We start from the raw sequence: 20055 nt of genomic DNA on the forward strand, positions 1-20055 counted from the left end.
GGCAGCCCCGAGACAGGGTCTTAGGGCTGCCTCTGCAGGACCCTTGGAAGTGCAGGCCCTTGCTCAGGAAGGGGTTGATGGTGTGGTATGGCAGGAGGCGGCACCACGTGACATGCTTGATGTGACATGATGTGGTGTGGTCCCCTCCGGGAGGATGGTCTGTGGAGGCTCAAGGCCATGGACCTGCTACTCCCCAGGGGCTGAACCAGCAATGCACCGAGTGGACCGTGTCCCTTTACTTGGTAGGGGTGGCCTGATGGTGGACCCCAGGCCTTCCTGCCTGGGACCCTGCAGGGCCTCTGGAGCCCCCTCCCAGGTGAGGCCTCCGAGTGGGGAGGGGCCAGGACCTGAGCCCCAGTGGCTTCCCCAGGGGCCCCCAGGGTCTGGGATAAACCGGGAATGGTGGCTTCCCTGAGAGCAGCGCCCTGGCTCGGCCCCTCGGTGTCCTGGCCCTTGCAGGGCTGTTGGGGCAGGGCCTGTCTCCGAAGGTCTGTGCACTATGTCCTTGGCCAGGTTTGGGGCTCAGTGGCAGTGTGGGTGAGACAGAGCAGGTGGCTCGCGGCTCAGGAGCCCCTTGGAGCCCTCTCACTGTCACCAGTGGAGTGTGCGTCACCCCCAGAAACCTGTTGTCCAGGCTGGACCCTCCCTGCCTGGGGGCAGCCAGGCCTCGGCCCCCCATGTGGCCTGAGCACATGCGCCCAGCTGTGCTCTGACCCCCACCTGCTCCAGAAGGCTCTGCTCCTCCCTGAAGCCTCCATGGGCCAGACCCCCATGATGCTGAGCCCCCAGCGGAGCCGGGACCTGGCTCTCCCCTTACCCTTGAGACCATGCTCTTTTCTGAGATAGGAACTCAGCCGACCCATCTGCAGGCTTAGCCCGGGCATGGGACCCTCGGCTGTGGGAGCTAGGACGGGCGGGCACCTGGAACTGGACGTTGGCTGCGTGATGGCCAGTCTAGGCTGGGTGCTGCCCAGAGGCCCGGCAGGTCCCTGTTCCCCGGCCTGGCCTGAGCACCAAGGTGTCGGGGCAGGAGGACCCTCGGCCCTGCCAGGCCCCCTCTGCATCCCTCGGTGTGGGTCCCCAAATTTGGCGGTTCACCCACTGTTCCCAGGGCCTGTGCTAGGTTGGGAGACACCCCTCAGGGAGAGCACGTAGGGGCACAGGGTCCCCAGAGAAGGGCCTACTGGGGGCGCAGGGAGGCTGGCAGCCCGCCTTCCTGCAGGTGGAGTTAGACTCAGTGAGTGTGAAGGATGCTCTGTGGCCACCATAGCTGGAGCAGCTGCCTGTGGGGGATGCCGACGCTTGTTCCCTGGGGTCCTGGGGGTCAGGCGGGGGCAGGAGCAGTCAGAAGCTTCAGAGGAGCGGCCCCAGGGCCTTTGCTGCAGATGGAGGCGGGAGGCTCCCAGGTGGCAAAGCGCACCTGCTGCAGGTGTGAGAGGGCCCAGTTCGGGGAGTATGGCCACCGGGAGCCCCTCGGGCCCTCCACCCCCCTGCAGGGCCTCCCTCCCCGGCCGTGCCCCGGTCTTCACCCTCCATACCTGTTGAGCCGTGCCGTGGGTGGAGGTGAGCATCCCGCGGGCGGGCTGTGTGCGTGTGTGTGCCTGTGTGCTCGTGTGTTTAAGTGTATTTTTAAAGCGGCTTTGCAGCTGTGTTTGACTCACTTCCATTCTCTGGTAGGAGCTCGGCAAGTGGTGCACTGTGGGTTATTTTGGGCTTGGCAATATTGCAATTATTAGATTCCGTGTTTGTAAGGAAACAGCGTCGCCTGGGGCAGCATTGGCTGTGGGTGGCGGTGTTGATGCCGTTTGGGATGCGGAGCCCAGAGGGGAGGCCCAGCTTGTCCCTTGGGCCTGTCACAGGGCTATCAGGGTTACCAAGCCGCCAGCACCAGATCACCTGGTGGGCAGTTTCTCCCGGGCCTTTGTCGGATTTAGGCCTCCCCTGGCTTCCGAGCGCAGCCCCCCCAGTTCGTCCCCTGGGCGCTGGCTCCTACCTGACCTCATGGCCGCTGAGCCCCGCAGGGTCTTGGAGGGGCTCCAGCCCAGCTTGGGAGGCGGGGCGGCCCTGGGGGGCGGGTGGCGCTCTAGCCACGCGCTCTGGGGCTCGTCAAAAAGACTTAAATTGCCCCTTGCTCTCAGCTGTGCCTTAAAAAGCTGCAGGTGGTGACTCAGTTGTCACCGTCACTGTCACCGCTGCCGGTGCTTCTGGGGACGCGTGAGGTCACCGGGGTGGCTCGTCCTGTGCAGCCCCCGCCCCCGGCAGACCCGTCGACCCCTTGGGGTTGGGGGACATGGGGGAGCTGCTGGAGCTGGTGAGACGCGGCCTCCGTCGGCTTCCTGCCATGGCTGTAACTTGAGGGAGCCGCCCTCCTTGGGCCTCAGTTTCCCCCTCTGAAGCCAGGGAGCTGGGCCTTCCTCTGGACTTGGTTTGTCCAGGGCTCTTGGTGGGAGGTGCCCACCCTTCCTGAGAGAATGGGCCCACTTGGTAGGACCTTTTTCTGCCCCTTCTAGGGCCAGCGGAGGGGCCCGTGCTGGGTCTGCGGAGAGCAGGTCTCACAGCCACAAGGGGCTTCCAGGTGGGAAGGGACCCCAGGTTCACACCATGACTCTGGCACTGTGAGGGGCGATCCGCACCTCCTCTAGGCCTTAGGCAGGTCCTCTCTGTCCAGCCAGGGCCCCTACCTGTCATCTCCATTTTCAAAGGGGCAAGAGCCACCTACCTCCAGAACCCCCCGGGGCTCCAGTCCTCAGGCGCCTGGTGTGGCGGTGGTGGCTTTGGGTCCGGCCCTGGTGGTCTTCTCACACTGGCCAGCCCTTGTGCAGGATGGCCTGGGGCTGGGGGGTACCCAGGGCTCTCTCAGGTGGGCTGAGATGTGAACTGACCAGCTGGCAGCTCCGTCCATCAGCAAGGACAGGAATGAGGCCTGGGCCTGCCTGGCCACGCTGGGCTGGCCCGCCCTCCACTCAGTGGGGACCTCTCCTACCCTCCCTGCTGGGCTTCAGGGGCCTTTCCAGCCATGGCTGGGACCTGTGAGTGGCCAGGGGCTGGGGGGCTGCATGCTCCCAGTGGCCTCGTGGCCGTGATCACAAGGGGCTGAGTGCCCTCTGCCTCAGCTTCCTGCCACTGCAGCTTCTCGCCAGGGTTCCCCAGCCGCCTGCTCCCCAATGTCTCCTGGCCTTCCTCCCGGGACGCTCCTTGGGTTCTGAGATCTGCTGAGATGGGGCCTGTGTGTTGCGGGACGGGGCCGCACCCACCCTGGGGGAGCGGCTGAGCTGCTGGATGGCCTCCTGCCTCTCAGGGGCCCAACAGCGACCTGCAGGCAGTCAGGGAGGACTCCCTGAAGGAAGCGGTTTCCTCAGTGTCTGACCACAGGGCAGTCACAAGTTCCCCAAAGGCGAAGGTGGCTCACCCCGAGTCCTGGCTGCACCCTGGTACCCACAGCCTCGTGTGGAACATGAACCATCCCGGTCCCAGGAGGCGCGTGCTGGGAGCGGCTCCCAGCCCTTGGATGATCTTTCCTCTTGCCTAATGGGCAGGCTGCTTTCTTTTCTGTTTTAGACCTGAAAAAAAAAAAAAAAAAGCATTTGCCAGCATAGCACTGATGGCCACCCGGCCCATGCTGTCCACCGGGCGGGTGGTAGGGAGGGCAGAGAGCAACGTGCGGGCCTCAGGCACCAAGGAGGCCGCACAGGCAAGGGGCTGGTGGGCGCTGGGCTCACTGGTGCATCCCTGCAGGGCTGACTGGCCCCAGGCTGTGTGTGTGAGTGGGGGTGGGCCATGCCGTCACTGTGGGCACCCAGGCCTGTCCTCGGGAGCTCTGACAGCACAGGGAAGGTGGCCGGCTGGGTGGGGACTCAGGGCAGGACACCGGGCTGCCTGGGGCGGGGGGACTCCTATCAGTCCCCGTAAGGCCCTGCTCAGTGCCCGGCCCCTGTGAGGCTGAGGATGGGACAAGGGTGTGTCCTGCCGTCCAGACACTGGGACCTTGTGCAGGCATCCAGCTGCCTTGGAGCAGATGGCAGAGACCCTGGAGCAGGGCACTAGCAGGGGGCTGGGCACCTACAGCAGGAGCCCTCAGCCGGGACCCATGACACAGGAAGGGCTGGAGGCTGGGCTGGACAGTCCCCCTTGGGCACTGGCCTGGCCTGACCTGGACATGCCGAGTGGCCGGGGAACGGGTGCCAGGCTGGCCCGAGTGGCCTTCCTGCTTTCACAGGAACTGGCAGGCCGGGTGGACCCAGTGGGTCCAGCAAGGTTGGTGTGACCCCTGCTTCCTGGGCCTGGGGAGAAGCTGGGCTCCATCTGTGCCCCTGGAGCAGCCAGTGGCTGAGTGGCCGGAGGAGATGCCTGAGGAGGCTCTGGCTCTGCCCTCAGGGACGCTCCCGCCCAGACCGCGCCCATACAGGCAGCCTGCCCCCAGTATGGGCAGCCCCCCAAAGACCCATCTGCACAGGGATGATCTCGAGGCCACGTTTCATTCCCACTTCAGCCTCCTGTACTCCCGAGTCTCACTGGCTTCTAATCTGCACTTATGCAACCATGGTAAAAAGTGACTACATCTGGGGATGTCCCCGTGCGCTGTGATGTGTGCTTGGCCGTCTCTGCAAACGGGGGCCCGAGGGGCTGGTGCTGCTTCTCAGCAGCCTGGGCCACGCCGGTCTTGCAGCGTGGCTGCTCCTGGGCACTCTTGAGTCACTGCCTCGTAGTGACCTGGCCCCCTCATTGCAGACTCAGCCCCGAATCCTGCTCCCCGGTGGCTGGGTTGCACCCATCTGGAGGTGGGGCTCAGGAGGCGGCCTTGGTGATGCCAGGTGGTCAGTGGGTTTTTGCCATCCGCCAGGAGCTTCACTGGGCCTCCCGTTGGCCCTGCATGGGACATGGTGACAAATGCCACGCTGGTGACAAGCCCTCTCTGGCTTGTTTATTTTGTCTTGTTGGAGATGCACGTGCCCCTTGCAGCCTTGCCGGTGGTCTTCCTTGCCAGTGGTCCTCCTTCCTGGTGGTCCTCCTTCCTGGTGGTCCTCCTTCCTGGTGGTTCTCCTTCCTGGTGGTCCTCCTTGCCGGTGGTCCTCCTTCCTGGTGGTTCTCCTTCCTGGTGGTCCTCCTTGCCGGTGGTCCTCCTTGCCGGTGGTCCTCCTTCCTGGTGGTTCTCCTTCCTGGTGGTCCTCCTTCCTGGTGGTCCTCCTTCCTGGTGGTCCTCCTTCCTGGTGGTCCTCCTTCCTGGTGGTCCTCCTTCCTGGTGGTCCTCCTTGCCGGTGGTCCTCCTTGCCGGTGGTCTTCCTTTCCGGTGGTCCTCCTTGCCTGTGGTCCTCCTTGCCTGTGGTCTTCCTTTCCGGTGGTCCTCCTTGCCTGTGGTCTTCCTTTCCGGTGGTCTTCCTTTCCGGTGGTCTTCCTTTCCGGTGGTCCTCCTTGCCTGTGGTCTGTCTTCCTTGGGCTGACACTGAGCCAGCGCTTATCTGAATGCAGTGCTGGCGCGTGGGGAATACGCTCCTGAGTAATTCACACGCAGGACCGGCCGGCCGTGGACGGCGGGCAGTGTTTGGAGGCCAGTTTCTGCTCAGCGCCTCATGGTGGGGCTGTTTCCTTGGCACCGTGAGGGGCCGGTCCATGCGGCCAGTGGAAGCGTCCATCGGCCCCTCACCACTCTGTTCGCTCCCCTCTGGCCTGTTTGGCTCCAAGCGAGCACCCTGAGCTGGGACCTGGGCCAAGCGCTCTTCTGCTCCGGCAGTGACTGTGCTCCAGCTGGCGCTGTCCAGCCCTGCCCAGGCCCTTTCTGCCCTCCGGTTCCTCCCCTTGCTGCTCTAGCCTGGCCTAAGGGAGGGGCCCGTGCCCCCATGGGACTGGCCCTTCATGTCCCCAGGGGCCCTGCTGTCCAGGAAAGCAGCCCATTCTCTCCAGGGCTTTTCTAAGGCCATGCTGCCCCGGGGTCCCAGGCCGGGTTCCCCCAAGAGCTAGGACCCCTGACCACTGCTCTGTGTCTCCCAGACCAGAAGCCCTCTGGGTGCGGGGCCTACCTCTGGTTTCCTCACTTCCTCTCCAGCTCTAAGCCATGCCCACACACAGCAGGTGGTTAGTAAACCCCGGCTGATGGCTAGGGGTATGGAACAGGTGGGCTGGAGACAGGCAAGGAAGGACGCAGAGGGTGGCAGGTCTTGGCCCCGGGGCATGGGCCGTGTGGGCTCCCTCTGGCCTGAGAACCGAGTCTGAGGACTGGGATCCTGGGAGCCAAAGGCAGGGGCTTAGTGGCATAAAAGGGACACTGCTTCTTTTTCAAGGATTTTCATATTTTTAACGATGCAAGCAGCTGGGAGGCCTGGGGCGGCACCCAGGTGTAAGCTGGGCTGCTCGGGCCTGATGACCCTGGTGGAGGCTGGTGAGGCTGAAGGGGCTCCTGGTCCTGGGGGTGGGGACTGGCCTGCCTGTGGGGCCAAGGCTGTGGGGGCCTTTGACCAGCAGCCAGGGGCTGACCTGAGCTCAGGTTTCACCGTGACTGACCGTGTGGACTTAGCAGGTCTCACAGCTTCTCTGAGCCTCAGACCCCTCAGTGCAGCGGCAACACTCCCCACCTGCAGGGCAACAGCTGCGGGTTCGCCTCTTCTCTCTCTGCCCTTCCTTCAGCAGGCCCTTGAGGCTGGGTGCCAGCCTGGTGGCGTGGGGGCTCAGGAGTGTGCCCAGTGCCCCTCTCTGGGGCCGGATCTCACACCCCCACATGGGGAGGGCCTGGGTGGGGCCAGGTGGCCAGCAGCTCCTGACAGACCCTGCTGAGGGTGTGTGTCCTGGGACGTGGCTGCATTGGTGGCCATGGGGCAGTGTTCGTCCTGCAATCCTGCTCACTGGACTCCGTGCCAGGCTGGCCAAGGCTCTGCATGGCTGCTGCATGCGGGCACAGAATGTAGGTCAGGCTGTTGCAGGGGGGTAGGGCTGGGCAGCCAGGGCAGTGCCTGCTCCCTCAGCGTCCAGTGGGGCTCTGCAGCCCGGGGCTGGACACCTGACCCACCGACCTTGGCCAGGGCCCTTCTGGTGGTGCCTGAACCCCCTGGCAAGGCTGTCCTTCAGCAGGGAGGAGGGAGGCATGTGGGCACCTGCTGTGACTGTGGATGCTGCTAGCAGGGCGGGCTGAGCTCGGTCCATGTGGGACCTGGCCCCTGGGCACTGGGAGGCTAGGATGTGTGGGTCCTGCTGAGATGATTCAGGGCAGAGCCTTCCCGAAGCTCCGGTCCCTGTGGCTGGCTCAGCTTTCGCTCCCTGCTGGGTTACCCAGCCCTGGGGCCTCGGCTCCCCTCCAGCCCGCAACAGGGAACACTGTGGGGACAGTGACGCCCACTGGACACCCCATCCCCATGCCTCCCGCCTCTGTGGGCCTCAAATCCAGCTGTTTCTTGCTCTGTCTTCTTTGTTTCTTCTGCGCCTCTGCCTTGGCATTAACAATGTTCCCTTTGAACCTGTCTGCAACTCCCCCAGGCTTGGGGGAACCAGGAGCAGGGCTGGGGCCTTTGTTTGGGGAATGGCACCATGGAAGGTGGGCAGGGCAGCTGGGGATGCCAGACTCATCCCCCCCAGGGCCTCTGCATCTGGCCTTCCCTGGCCATCCACCCGGGACCCCCTGTCCCATCAGCTTGTGTTTGCTTGAGTCCCACTTTCTTGGGGCTGCCTCCCCTGGCGCCCCCTCTCTGGAACTCTGCCTGCACTGGCTGTGCCACTCGGCAGCCCCTCTGCCTGACACCCCCTCTGCCTGACACCTCCTCCACCTGACACCACTCCGCTTGACAACCCTCCACCTGACACCCCCTCCGCCTGACACCCCTCCGCCTGATACCCCCTCCGCCTGACACCCCTACACCTGACACCCCTCTGCCTGACACCCCCTCCACCTGACACCCCCTCCACCTGATACCCCCTCCACCTGACACCCCCGCCTGACACCTCCTCTGATACCCTCTGCCTGACACCCCTCTGCCTGGTACCCCCTCCACCTGACACCCCTCTGCCTGACACCCCCTCTGCCTGACACCCCTCTGCCTGACACCCCCTCTGCCTGACAGCCCCTCTGACACCGCCTCCACCTGACACCCCCTCCGCCTGACACCCCTCTGCCTGACACCCCTCCACCTGACACCCCTCTGCCTGACACCCCTCCATCTGACACCCTTCCACCTGACACCCCCTCTGCCTGATGCGTGGTCTTGTCCCCATGGCCTGCTGTCAGGTGGTCACCCCAAGGCATCTTGGTCCATCCGGGGCAACTACGGTCAGTCTGGGTGGCCCGTGGTCAGTCTGGCCAGGTCCTCACTGGTCTGTCTTCCTCCTCAGCCAGGCGATGTGCTCCTCTGTGACCTTAGAGCCCCAGAACCGAGCTCTGGGCTCTGGGCATCGCTGGGGTGGTTTCACATGGGGCCCTGGGGGCTGAGGCAGTAGGGGATCTTTGTGCTGGGGACACAGCAGGGCCTTAGAGGGGCATCCCTTGCCTTACTCTGTGCTCCCACCCCCTAGCCACTGCCCAGGACAGGAGGTCGCTCAGCCCATCCTGGTGCCAAGATGTGTGTCGGGGTGGTGGGGGTGGATCTGGCCCTTCGAGGCCCCCACAGTGGGCTTAGTTTCCTAACCGAAGCCGTAACATCCATAGAACTCTTAAACCAGGCAAGAAAGCAACACGGAATTCGCTTTGATGTTGAATAATTAATGAAATGTCTGAGGTATGGGCTTCTGGGCTGTGTCTCTCCCAGCCGCAGAGCTGTCAGCACCGTCTCGTCATTGGAGGGGCCTGCATTTCTGTCTTTAAATGTGCGCTTGGCACCTCTGAGAGGTAATTAGGACGTTCTGTGCACGATGAGGAGGCTGGGGTGCTCACCTCCAGGGGGCTGCAGGGCCAGTGCGACTGTTGTGGACCAGCCCCGGAGGGGGAGCTGCAGGGTCAGCTGGGCTGTGAGACCCCGGGCAAGAGTCCCCTGCCTCAGTTTCCCTATCTGAAAAGTGAAGAGGTTGGATCCAGGGGCCTCTGGGGGCCCGTCGAACTCAGACATTCCAAGGTGGTGGAGGAGCAGAATCAGGGACACATGGGGGACCTCGCTGTGTCCCCAGGTCGCCCTGGTGCTGGTAGGCAGGCTGCAGAGCCCCTGCCTGCTGAAGTTTGCTGAACGGGGCTGCAGCCGAGAATCTGTTTACTGCAGCAGGTCATCGGGAAGCGTTTCCTTGGAGACATATGTAGGACAGAACTCGGAAGCTGAAACCGAGGCACCCCACGAAGGCCCCACACCGCTGGCGGGAGGCGGTTTCTCAGGGCTCTGCTCCTGGAGGCTGCTGGGAGACAGCTGCAGCCCGGAGACTGGTCAGAGCCCGCGACCCGAGAACAGGGCTCCTAGCCCCTCCTCACAGCAGTGGCCACCCAGGGGGATATCACACTTGGACCTTTGGTGCAAGAATGTCCCCCGCCAGACCGCACTGAAGGTGCCCACTGCCCTCCTCTGGGAACCCTCCTCCCCATGGCCTGAGCCAAGGCACCAGCTGGCCAGGCCCTTGGAGAACTGCTGGTCCTCCCTGGTTCAACACAGGGAAACTGAAGCCGGAGAGGCAGTGAACTCCCATGGGGCACACAGAGTCGGGCAGAGTCAGGGTGTGAACTGGGGTCTCCTGAGCTGGCCGGAGCACTGCCCTTCCCGGCTCCTGTCTACAGTGGCATTTTCTGGAACACACTCAGGGCACCCCTTGCTGGCAGCCCCAGAGGACATGGTGCTGGGCTTCTGTGCGGTGGGATCGCTCGGCAGCTGGTTGCGGGTGTGACCAGGGCACTGGCCTCCCTGGCGGCACAGGGTGCTGCCCACTGTCCAAGAGAGGGCTCTGGGGCTCAGAAGCAGCTGGGCTGTGGGAAGTCCTGGGGGTGGAGTCTCTTTCCATGGGGTTCGAGTGTTGGCAGGGGGGCTTCACGAGCTTCTCCCCTCCCCACTCTGCCCTTACTCTGGTCTTCCCGATGTGCATCTCCATCTTTCCATCCTTGGCTTTCTCTGGGGCTGTTTGTGCTCAAACACAGGGTCACCTGCGGGCTCAGAATTGGCAATCCTGACGCAGGCTGGTGCATGGAGTGCTTATCTGGCCCCTGGGCATGCACACGAGTGCACAGAGGTCCTCAGGGGTGCCTGGGAGCCTGGAGCAACCCTGGCCTATAGTGGCCCCTGTCTTTGGGCTGGCCGTGTCTTCCTGAACCTGTGCCCTGGGGCAGGGGCCACCTAAATGGTTTTCTTTGGAGATGAGACGTGAAGGAACTTTTGCTGCAGGATGGCTGAGGAGGGGGGCCACCTCCTGCTCCCCCAAGCCAATGGAGAAAGCAGGAATGGAAGGTGCACTGCAGGGAAGCCGGGGCCTGGGCTCTGTCCGGACTCAGCTGCCTCCCACCCCTACCCCTGTGAGATGCTGGGTGGTGCCCTGCCTGCTTGGGGCCTCTGTCCAGCCTGCAGGGCAAGAAAGCCCCTCCAGCTGAAAGAGATGAGATGGAGACACTGCGGACTCTGGGGTGGGCAGCATGGAGGTCAGGGCAGCACCTGGTTCAGGTGGCCTCGGGCTCACGGCCAGCTCTCAGTCAACTCACACAGACTGAAGACGGGACCCTCAGGCTCGGCTCTGCAGGAGGCGTTAGGGGCTCAGCAGGCCCTGAGGCTGGGCTTGGTGTCACTGAAGCCCAAGAGGGCAGGGGAAGTGGCTGCCTTTGTGTGCAGAGCCAGGGCCCGGGGAGCAGGTGTGCAGTGTTTCCATTGCACATCAAGGAAACTGAGGCACAGGGGAAGGGGGATCAGCTCTGCCCACCTACAGGCCTAGCTGAGAACCTAGGGCTGTGGGCCAAGGTCTAGGCTCGCCCTGTCTCAGGGTGTGGTCTCCTCCGGCCTCTGTCCTGGCAATGCCTGTGAACCCAAGGAGAGATCCAGCCAGGGCTCACAGCCAAATCCAGCCTTAGACTGTGGGGACAGGGGCAGCCTCTCAGACCCGGAAGGCAAGAACCAGTCCCAGAAAGCGGGGCTGAGGAGACACAGCTCTGGGCCTACAGGGTGGGGACCCTCTGCCCTCTGCCCTCCACCCTCCGGCCAAGGCAGAAGCTGGGTCTGGTCCTCCCAGCTGTGCCGGCCCATGGGCAGGGGCTCTGGCGGGCTCACAGCTGGCTCTGCGTCCCTGGATGTGCTTGTTCCTTCCAGTCGCCTTCTTCAAACGAGGAGAAAATTAAACTCCCTGGGGCCTGGCTCCCCTGCCACCATGGTGCCTCCTCACCTGCTGCCCGCCGCCTGCCGCCCGCCACCTGCCACCCGCCGGGCCAAATGCTCTCAAAGACAGAATTCTGCTTAAATGCCCAGAAAAGAGATTTAGGAGATCAGAATCTTAAGCAAATTAACATGTGCAGCGGGCGGCTTTTAATCACCGCCTTTAATCGCAGGCCGCGGTGACGGAAATCATCTCCTGGCTGAGTGGCGGGCGGGGCTGGCCCTGAGGATGGATTATTCCTTAGAACCTGAACCTGGGTTTCACCGGCCTCTGGAAGGGGGCTCAGGGGCCTCTGTCCACTCCAAGGAGGCGTGGCTGGGTCGGGACCTGCAGCCCGCACACCCCTCTCCCTCCTTCCCACCCTTGGGCGTGTCTGTGGCTTTCGCCTTCTGTCTCCTCTCCCCACCTCAGTTTCTCCCTTCTGAGACTTGGGGCTGCTGGCCCTTTCCTGAGTGGACTGTCCCAGGGGACATGCAGAGCCCAGGTGTGGGGGATGCTGGGACGCCTGTTGCTCCTGGGCCACTGGTTGCCTCTGGCACACGTGCACTGCAGTGTCATTGCCTGGACAGCCCCCATTGTGGCCTGGCCTCCCCTCAGCCCTGCCACTCAGCTCAGCACCGGGACCCACTGAGACCTGGGGCCCAGAGGGAGGGGGCCGCCCCTCCCTTCTCGCAGCTGTGCCCAGCCAGGCGGACACAGGCCCTGGGACCCTGGCTGTGCCGAATGGGTCGTGAGAGAGACTGTTCATTCACGAGGGCAGGTCCCAAGAGCCCAGGGCAGGGGCTGGTCCAGCCGAGGGTCCTAGGCCACCTGAGTGGTGGTAAAGGCAGGAGGCAGCTCCTTTGAGGGTGCCAGGCAGCTGCGCCCAGGGGCCTTCCTTGGCAGGACCCAGGTGGTGACTGCAGCTGCTGGTGGCTCCCCTCCCCCTCCACACCTGGGGCCCCGCATGGCAGGAGGTGGTCACACCTTGAGGTGGCAGCGGCTCAGAGAGCCCAGAGGCGGCCCCACATCCTCCTGCCCGGGCCTGCGTGCCTGCCTGCCCTGCCCACATCCGGGGCTCAGTGTCCACACAAGCCTCCCAGGCCGCACTCTGGGATGGGGGCTCAAGGCCCCTTGGGGCAGAGGTGGTACCTTTCAGAACACCCCCCATGGGTGGACGTCTCTTTTGTCTGGAAAATGTTACGTCCCTCAGATGCTGGGAGCAGCGCGTGCAGGGGGAGGCAGAATGCTGGCTCGGAGAGGGAGAGGACCCCAGCGCGGGCAGCTCAGCACTGGACAGACAGGGCAGGGAGGCGAGGGGCTGGGAGAGCACAGGAAGGGGTGTAGCAGCACGCAGGGCTGCAGCCGTCACCGTCACCATCACCAGGAGCTACTGCTGGAACTCGGCCTCCCCCAACGCTGGACGCCCCCCAGGGCAGCCAGTGAAATGTCACCTCAATGACCCTTGGCAGTGCTCAGCCCTTCCCAGAGGCCCTCCTGGGGTGAGTGGCTCTTCTTGGCTGCAGCCTGCGGGGCCTGGGGTGTAATGACCAGAGGGTCCCTGTGGTGGAGGGGCAGCCAGCCAGGGAGCATTTGGCTCTGGTCCTGGGGGTGCAGCCACCCCTCAGTAGGAGGAGCCCTGCCGGGAGGGAGGGAGGGAGGGAGGACAGGATGAACGGTGGGTGGTCGCTCAAGCTGCTATGGGAAGAGCCAGCAGCCAACCCGCCTCCCCTTCTGGCCTCTCAGCGGAGCCAGCTCAGCTCCCGCCAGAGACCCCAGCCCAGGTGTCCTCCCTTCCCACTCCAGCAGAGGCTGCTGGGCCCGGGCTGGGCAGCCAAGGGTTAAGTGGGCGGGGCTCCCACGGGAGGGGCGGTCCCAGCGGCGGCCCCGTCCCGCCTTCCCCTCGCCTTCCTCACCTTCCTCACGGGCGGGCGCGGCAGGGCAGCGTGTGGGGCTGCGATCGGCATGGGCTCTGCGCGCGGGGTGCCCCTGCTCGGGCTGGGGCTCAGGGGACGCCGGGGGCCAGCACAGGGCCCGGTGTCCCTCGGGCCGTGCCGGTAACTGGGATTGGCACCCGCCGGCCATGGAAGAGCCTGGGCCCCCAGGTGGGCTCAGCCAAGACCAAGGTAAGGGGGCAGGTGGGATCCCAGAAGGGGGTTGTGATGGTCCCCGTAGGGAGCCCAGGACCGGACCTGTTCACTGGTGACCCGCCCAGGACCGGACCTGTTCACTGGTGACCCACTGACCCCCCGTGGGCAGTGCAGAGCTCCTCCCAGCAGGGTCTCCGGGAGCACGGCCCAATGACCCCATTACCTGCACATCCCTCAGACTCGGTCCCAGAGGAGGGATGCTGCCCCCACCCCTTGGCGCCCCCACCCTGCCTCATCTGCCCCTGTGCTGACACGTGAAAGCGAGAGGGTCTGCTCCCTGCAAAGGGTCCAACACAGTCCAGGTGGGCGGTGGGGGAGGCGCCCTCAGCCATGCCAGCACGGGTCCTGACCTCCAGCTTGATCCCAGCGGATGCACACTGCTCGGGTGGGGGGCAGGTCTGGGGGTGCCAGGGGCTGGTAGGCTCTGGCTTTTGGCTCTGGGGGCTCTCCTGGCCCAACCCCACCCCAGCCCCTGATCGAGGTTGGCAAAGGTGGCCCTGAGCTGCAGTCAGCACCATGGACAGGGGCAGCTGCTGCTTTCTCTGGGGGGCCTGCAGTTGCTGTGCGTCCTCAGGGTTCCCTGGAGTTACACTCTGGTCTGGCCCATCCCGCTCCGCTCCGGGTTGGAGATTTCTTGCTGTGATCTGTCACGCTTTCCTGACCTGGGAGCCGGACATTGCCCTGCGCAGACAGAGCGGAGCAGCAGGGGTGGCGGAAGCCCCGGGGCTGTTCACAGCAGGAGCTTCCGAGGGGCATCCTGGGCAGGCCCCTTCAGCACTGGCTGGGGCAGGGTCTACAGCTCCCCAAACACAGCGCTAGCTCTGGGCCAGAGGGGCAGGGTCTCCAGCTCCCCAAACACAGCGCTAGCTCTGGGCCAGGGGCGGGGAGAGGAAAACGTGAAGGGGGACAGTGGCCACGGCTGCAGAAGAAGTGGCTCAGGCCAGACACCAGGAGGAACTCCTGGGTTTCCAGGGACAGTAGGAGCTTGCCTCCTGGTGGTTTGGAACCTGCTTGTTCTGCCCTGTGATTGGCATGGACACGTGGGGTGGGACATGGCATCGCTGCTGGGCAGACTGGGGACGGGTTGCTGGTTTTTGCCTCTGATAAACCGTGTGACCTCACACAAGGGACTGAGCCTCTCTGAGCCTCCATGGGCAAGAGGGATAGCATGGGGCGCTTTCACAGGGTGGCTGTGGGCATTCAGAGCAAGCCTGTCTGCAGTGGTCATGCCGTGCCTGGCCTGTGCAGCTGCTCCAGGGTGCCTGTCCCCTCCTCTGTCCCACCCCCAGTGGAGGTGCCCTCTCTGAATGGAGAATAGTGTGGCAGATGTAACCAGGGCTGCTGGGCAGACACTGTTTGTAGGATGGGCTGTATATTCAGGTCACTCCAGGTGCACCCACTCGCTGACCGCAGCCCCCATCCCAGGGCTCTCCTGGGCACGTTGTCCCTGGTTCCTGCCTGTCTGGCCTGCAGAGAGCTCCCTGGAGTCACTGCCCTGTGCTGGCCACTGGGCTCAGGATGCCTGCCTGCTGTGGACAGGGGCTGGCTGCTGCCGGGTGGCCCCAAAGCCCCAGGTTCCAGGAGACCCAGCACACTTGGGGTCTGCAGCTGGCCAGGGAAGGGCCTAGTCTTAGGAGGGGGCAGTGGTGGGAGTGGCTCTGAGCCCACCCTCCGTGCCTGCGTCCTCTGGGCAGAGGGAGGGGAGCCAGCAGAACAGTCCTTACAGACTCCACGTGCCGCCGAGGACGGAGCAGATGGGCCAGTGTCCTGGGTCCAGCCCTCCATCTGCACAGCTAATGAGCTGATGACGATGGCGTCCCAGTTCCTGGCACCTTCTCCTGGAGAAGCCATGGGCTGGCCCTGCCCGGGCAGTGCCCTTTGCTGGGGCAGGTGTGTGTGGGGTGCCTGGGGCCCTCTCAGGGACCCAGGCCCAGTGGCTCCACCTTCATTGAGGGTGGGCAGGGGGAGGGGTTGGGGAAGGGGATGAGTAATCCAACGTGCCTGTTTCTTCCCGGGATTTTGCTCCCAGCACTGCATACGTGGGCTCCCACCGGCTGGACGGACTTCCTGTGTGGGAAAGGCGAGTGGGCGCGGGCCTCCCGTGTGGGGGCAGGGTGGAGTTGGTGGACACCATCCCCAGGACAGGACGTTTCCTCTGGCTCCTGAGAAGTCACTCACCGTGGTGGCCGCAGGCATGGCTCCATGCTAGCTGGGTGAAGACCCCGAGAGGGGGCCTTGTGGCTGACGGTCACTGGAGACAACAGTGAGCCACTCTGGTGGGACTGTGGAACCCCCTCCAGCTCTGCCCCAGAGAGCAGCACCTGGGTGAGGGCTACAGGAGGCTCTTTCAGCAGGCAGGTCCCAGGCACCATGATGCAGCCCTGACTTGGGGACGGTGGCCACACTGTCCTGGGAGTAGGTCCCTTCCACCGCTCAGACCTGGCGACCCAGGAACACACCTCTGAGGGACTTGAGTGGTCTTGATTTCACATTGATCAGGCCCCTGGCTGCTCCGACTTTCAGGTCCCTGTTGTGGAGGTTTCGGGCGGCCCAGTTCTCAGGGGCAGCCCTGTGCCCTTCCTGGGTCAGCTGGTGTGTGGGTGGGGGCCGACCCAGGGAGCACCTCACTGGCTCCCAAAAGGCAGGAGTGGGAGACAGGGCAGCCAGCCCAGCCCCAGGGCCAGCTTGAGCAGGGAGGTCCAGACAGGGACGGAACGACTATACAAGATCCCAGAAACTTCAGGCAGGGAAGCTCAGAGGGCCAGCTCCATCTCCAGGACACCCTCTCTGTCTGAGACTCTCTGGCAGAGCATTCGTGGGGCTGCTCCCCGGCCTGGCAGTGGCCCGGGGTGCTCTGGCCGGGAAGAGCAGCCCCGTGCCGGGACGGATGTGGCGGGCTCAGCCTCCTGTTTCCTCGCCTCCTCCGTGGCTCCATGCCTGCTCTGCCTGGCAGCGGCCCAGCTGCCACCCTCCCTCCCGCGCCTGGCTATGGGCTGGGGGCAGGGCTGGCTCTGACCACTTGGCCCGAGGACCCTCCCCTTGGAGCTGCAGCCCCCTCCCCTCACTCGGCAGGAGCTCCCTCTCTCCCAGCTGGCAGGCCAGGCTCCATCTGGTGACTTTTCAGGAAAGGCTCCCCCACCGTGGCTGCCACGAGCCTGGCTCCCTCTGCAGCTCCTCTGGGGTGTCCTGGACGGTGGCTGGGGGCAAGGCCGTGCACCTGCCTTCAGAGAGCCCCAGGCCAGGTGGGTGCGATGCCCCTGCTGGCCATGCCCTGCTCAGTGAGGGCAGAGAGGCAGCCAGGGCCTCAGAGAAACCAGTGACTTGTGGCAGGGACAGGAGCCTCCAGGGACACACAATGGGGGGGGCACTCGCGGTGGGGGGAGGAAGCTGTGAAATGGGCTATTAATAGGGTCCCCTTCCTGATGGGGCTGTCAAGTGCGATTAATACCGCTGCTGTGAGCTGGGCTGCCACCAGCTGGGGATGGCTGGGGACGGCGAGGGGGCAGGAAGGGGAGCCCACTCTGGGAGGGACCCTTACTGAGATGGGGACCTGGCCCTGGCTGTCCCGAAGAGGCCAGAGAAAGGCCAGATGTTGGGGCCCCCTTGGCCATAGCGGGCCAGCTGGAGAGTGTGGAGGCCTGGGCTGGGCAGGCGCCCACCTGCACAAGAAGGGCTGCACTGGGGGAAGGTACGGGTCACCTGGCCTCAGAGGCCATCCTGTCCACTTGCCACTGCCGGCTGCTTGGAGGGTCCAGTGGCCTCAAGTTCCTGCACCTTTCTGTGCAACTGGGACTGCTTTGGACACCTGTGACCATCACAAGTCCTCCTGTCCATCCCTCCACACCGGGTGGCCGGATGACAGAAGAAAGGTGTCTGCTGGCCCTCCCTCTGGGCCCTGTGGGAGCTGGATCCTTCTAGCAGCAGCTGGGCCACCAGGGGAGCATGAGCCTGGCTGCTGTCCTCCCCCTGCTCTGGGGCCGGTGGAAGGTGGAGGGCAGGTCAGGTGGCGCGGCCGATGGAGTATGGCTGGCCATCGAGAACCTGTCCCCACGCTCTAGGACACTGGCCGTTCCAGCTCCCCCAGGGCTCTGTGCACACGGACCAGGAGCCACCCAAGGGGGCAGAACAAAGTCAGGCCCCAGGGCCCCCTCCGGCCTGCTCCCCTGCCGAGCTGGGTACTGCCATGGGGTCAGGCCCTTCCCTCCACAACGCCCCCACCTCCTGCTGAGAGCTGGAGTGGCTGCCACACGGAGGGCGCTGCCAGAGGAGAGGGCAGAGCGTCTGTCCCTGCGGTGCCCTCCAGGTGTGCCTAGGGTGGCCCCAGCCCCACAGGCCCCGGGCACTTGCCCTTGGTTCCCCTGCCCTTGCTGGGACCCCTCAGGCCCAGCCTGACTCTGGGATCCCTGGGCTCCTAGCACGACCACTCTGGGGTCCTGCCTGTGGGGAGGGCTCGAGGCACCGACTCACACTCCTGATAAAATAAAAATAGTTGGGGAGGAGGCTCCCAGACGTGCGGGGGGACAAGTGGCTTCTCTCAGACGTTTAAATAATCTCCGCCATATGTGTGTGGGCCCGGCCCTCCCTCCCGTGCGGCGCCAGTCCAGGGGCCCGGCTGATCTCCAGTGAGCACTGTGGCTGGGGCAAGGTGGCCACTTCCTCCTCCCTCCCGTCCACCCAAGCACAGCCTCAGCCCCTCCTGCATGCTGGGCCGGCCCTTGGGGGCAGCACGGGAGGGGGATGCTGGGGCTGCGAGGGGCAGGGGGGCGCGGAAGAGCCAGGGCCAGGAAGGGCTGCAGGAGCATCTGGCCCTCATGCCTCACTGCTGCTGAGGTCCTTTGCTCTCCTAGCCCTGGGATGCGGCTGCCTCAGGGACTCTTGGTGGCCCTGGAGGGTGGGTAGGCTGGCCTGGGGGCCATTGGGACAGCAGGTGACGGTCAGGCCAATGCCAGCCGGGCCCAGGCACAGCCCTGTGGGGGCTTCAGAGGGAGACACGGGTGGGCCCAGGGAGGTCCTTTGAAATGTCCTGCTGAAAGGCAGCAAGCGTCGGGAGAGGAGGGGGCTTAGAGGCAGCCAGGGCCACCTCTGGACAGGCCTGGAAGAGGTGGGGCCCCTGCCCGTCCCGTACACGCTCGTGAAGGGAAGAGGTTGGTGGAGGGGCATGTGCAGTCCCCATGCCCCTGTCGTGGGAGGGGCTGCGGTACCCAAAGCTGCCCCGGGTGTGTGTGTACATGCCGGGAGGCCTGTGGGTGTGATTTGTGGGTTTTGTTGGAAGATTCATTATTTTCCAGCCTTCCCCAGGGGAGAGGCGGAGATGCTGAGCCACCGCTGGCCCCTTGTTGATGACAGCCGCGAGGCCCATGCTGCCTGCTGTGTTAGGACAAGATCGATCTCCGCCATAAAAACAAAATTAAGCCAACACCGCCCTGGCTTCTGACAGCGCGCGCTCTTCCTCTAATCAGCTGCCACCCGCCCGGTTCCAGCCTTGGGAAGAAAGGAAGGGGCTGCAGGAGCAAACCTCTCACAGTGGGGAAACTGAGGCACTGAGACAGGGAGGACAACCCAAGGTCGGGGGGCAGGCCCAGGACCCCTGCTTCCCAGCAGCCACCAGGGCCAGGCAGTCAGGGTGGGCCGGTGCAGCCCAGGTGCGGGGGCTGAGCCCAGGGGATCACGGGCGCATTCCTCTGCGTGTCACCGTGGGGCCCGCAGAGCCCTCCCATGCACTCTCCCCAACTGGGGTGCAGCCCCGTCTGCCCGTCTGTCCACCCATCCGCCCATCTGGGTGCATCTGTGTGGGAGGCTTCTCCAGGCCCAGGGCTGAAGCCGGCCAGACCCTTGAGAGCTGGACCCTGGACACCAGTGTGGACACTGGCTCCCGTCACCTCCTCAGAGCAGGCCTGGTGGCCTTAGCTGCCTCTGTCCTGCCCGTCCCTCCCTGTCCACCTGTGTCCAGCCAGCGCCTGCTACGTGTTGGATCATGGCCTCACAGGGACAGAGCAGGGAGGAGGACTTCGAGGTCCCTGCCCCAGGGATGTCCCGGGGTCAGGCAGTGCTCTGAGGACTGGGGAGCCCCACTGTGCTGTGCAGGGACCTGGGGGAGCAGCAGGTGAGCCAGGGCCCTCCTCTCCCCGACGGAGCCTATATCTGCCCGACCAGGACTGCCGGCCCTTCCCAGTCTGGCCTCTGGTGTGGGCCCACAGCCAGGTGCATTGCTACAATCCCACCTGAGCTCCCACATCAGGTGTCCTGGCTCAGGCTCACGGGAGGGGCCGAGGCGGCCTGGGGGTGGGTGTGGACCATGGCTGAGGGCTGGGCCCCTGTGTGGAACCACAGAGCAGAGCGTGGCTTCTTCGGCCTCCCTGTGGGCTTTCAGGATGGCCGGGCCCTGGCTCAGGGCAGGCAGGGTGAGCATGAGGGCCCGTCAGTGCAGGCTGTGGGGCTGGGCTCGCCTGCCGGCATGGGGGTGGGGCAGCCCCCTCCGTGACCTTGTGTGGGGGCTGGGCTGGGCCCTGGGCCGGCTCACAGGCAGCACGTGGGGAGGGGTTCTTAAGTCTCTGGGCCTGGGCCCCTGCCACGTCTCTTGGCCCGGGGCACCCCCGGCTTCACGCTGCAGCTGCGGTTCTGTGTCTGCCTGAGTTTTGGAGGGGAGTGGGCGGTCCCTTTGGACCTCAGGGCAGGCAGGGCAGCC

The 20055-nt window shown here is 64.8% G+C and overlaps 1 protein-coding gene across 10 annotated transcripts in view; it reads left to right on the forward strand.

Moving 5' to 3' along the window:
- The window catches only part of PLCH2 (phospholipase C eta 2), an 89590-nt gene that overhangs the window by 38374 nt on the left and 31161 nt on the right, over nt 1–20055 (forward strand). Inside the window, exon 1 of one of the 10 annotated variants that reach the window (NM_001303012.2) lies at nt 13135–13346. The exons of the other annotated variants lie outside the window; for them this stretch is intronic. Coding sequence (NP_001289941.1) covers nt 13304–13346 — 43 coding nt within the window. The 5' untranslated portion in view covers nt 13135–13303. Of the gene's footprint in view, nt 1–13134; nt 13347–20055 lie in introns of those variants that run through there. 10 annotated transcript variants of the gene reach the window in all.

This window comes from Homo sapiens, chromosome 1 (assembly GCF_000001405.40).
Source record: "Homo sapiens chromosome 1, GRCh38.p14 Primary Assembly".
Classification (NCBI taxonomy): domain Eukaryota; kingdom Metazoa; phylum Chordata; class Mammalia; order Primates; family Hominidae; genus Homo; species Homo sapiens.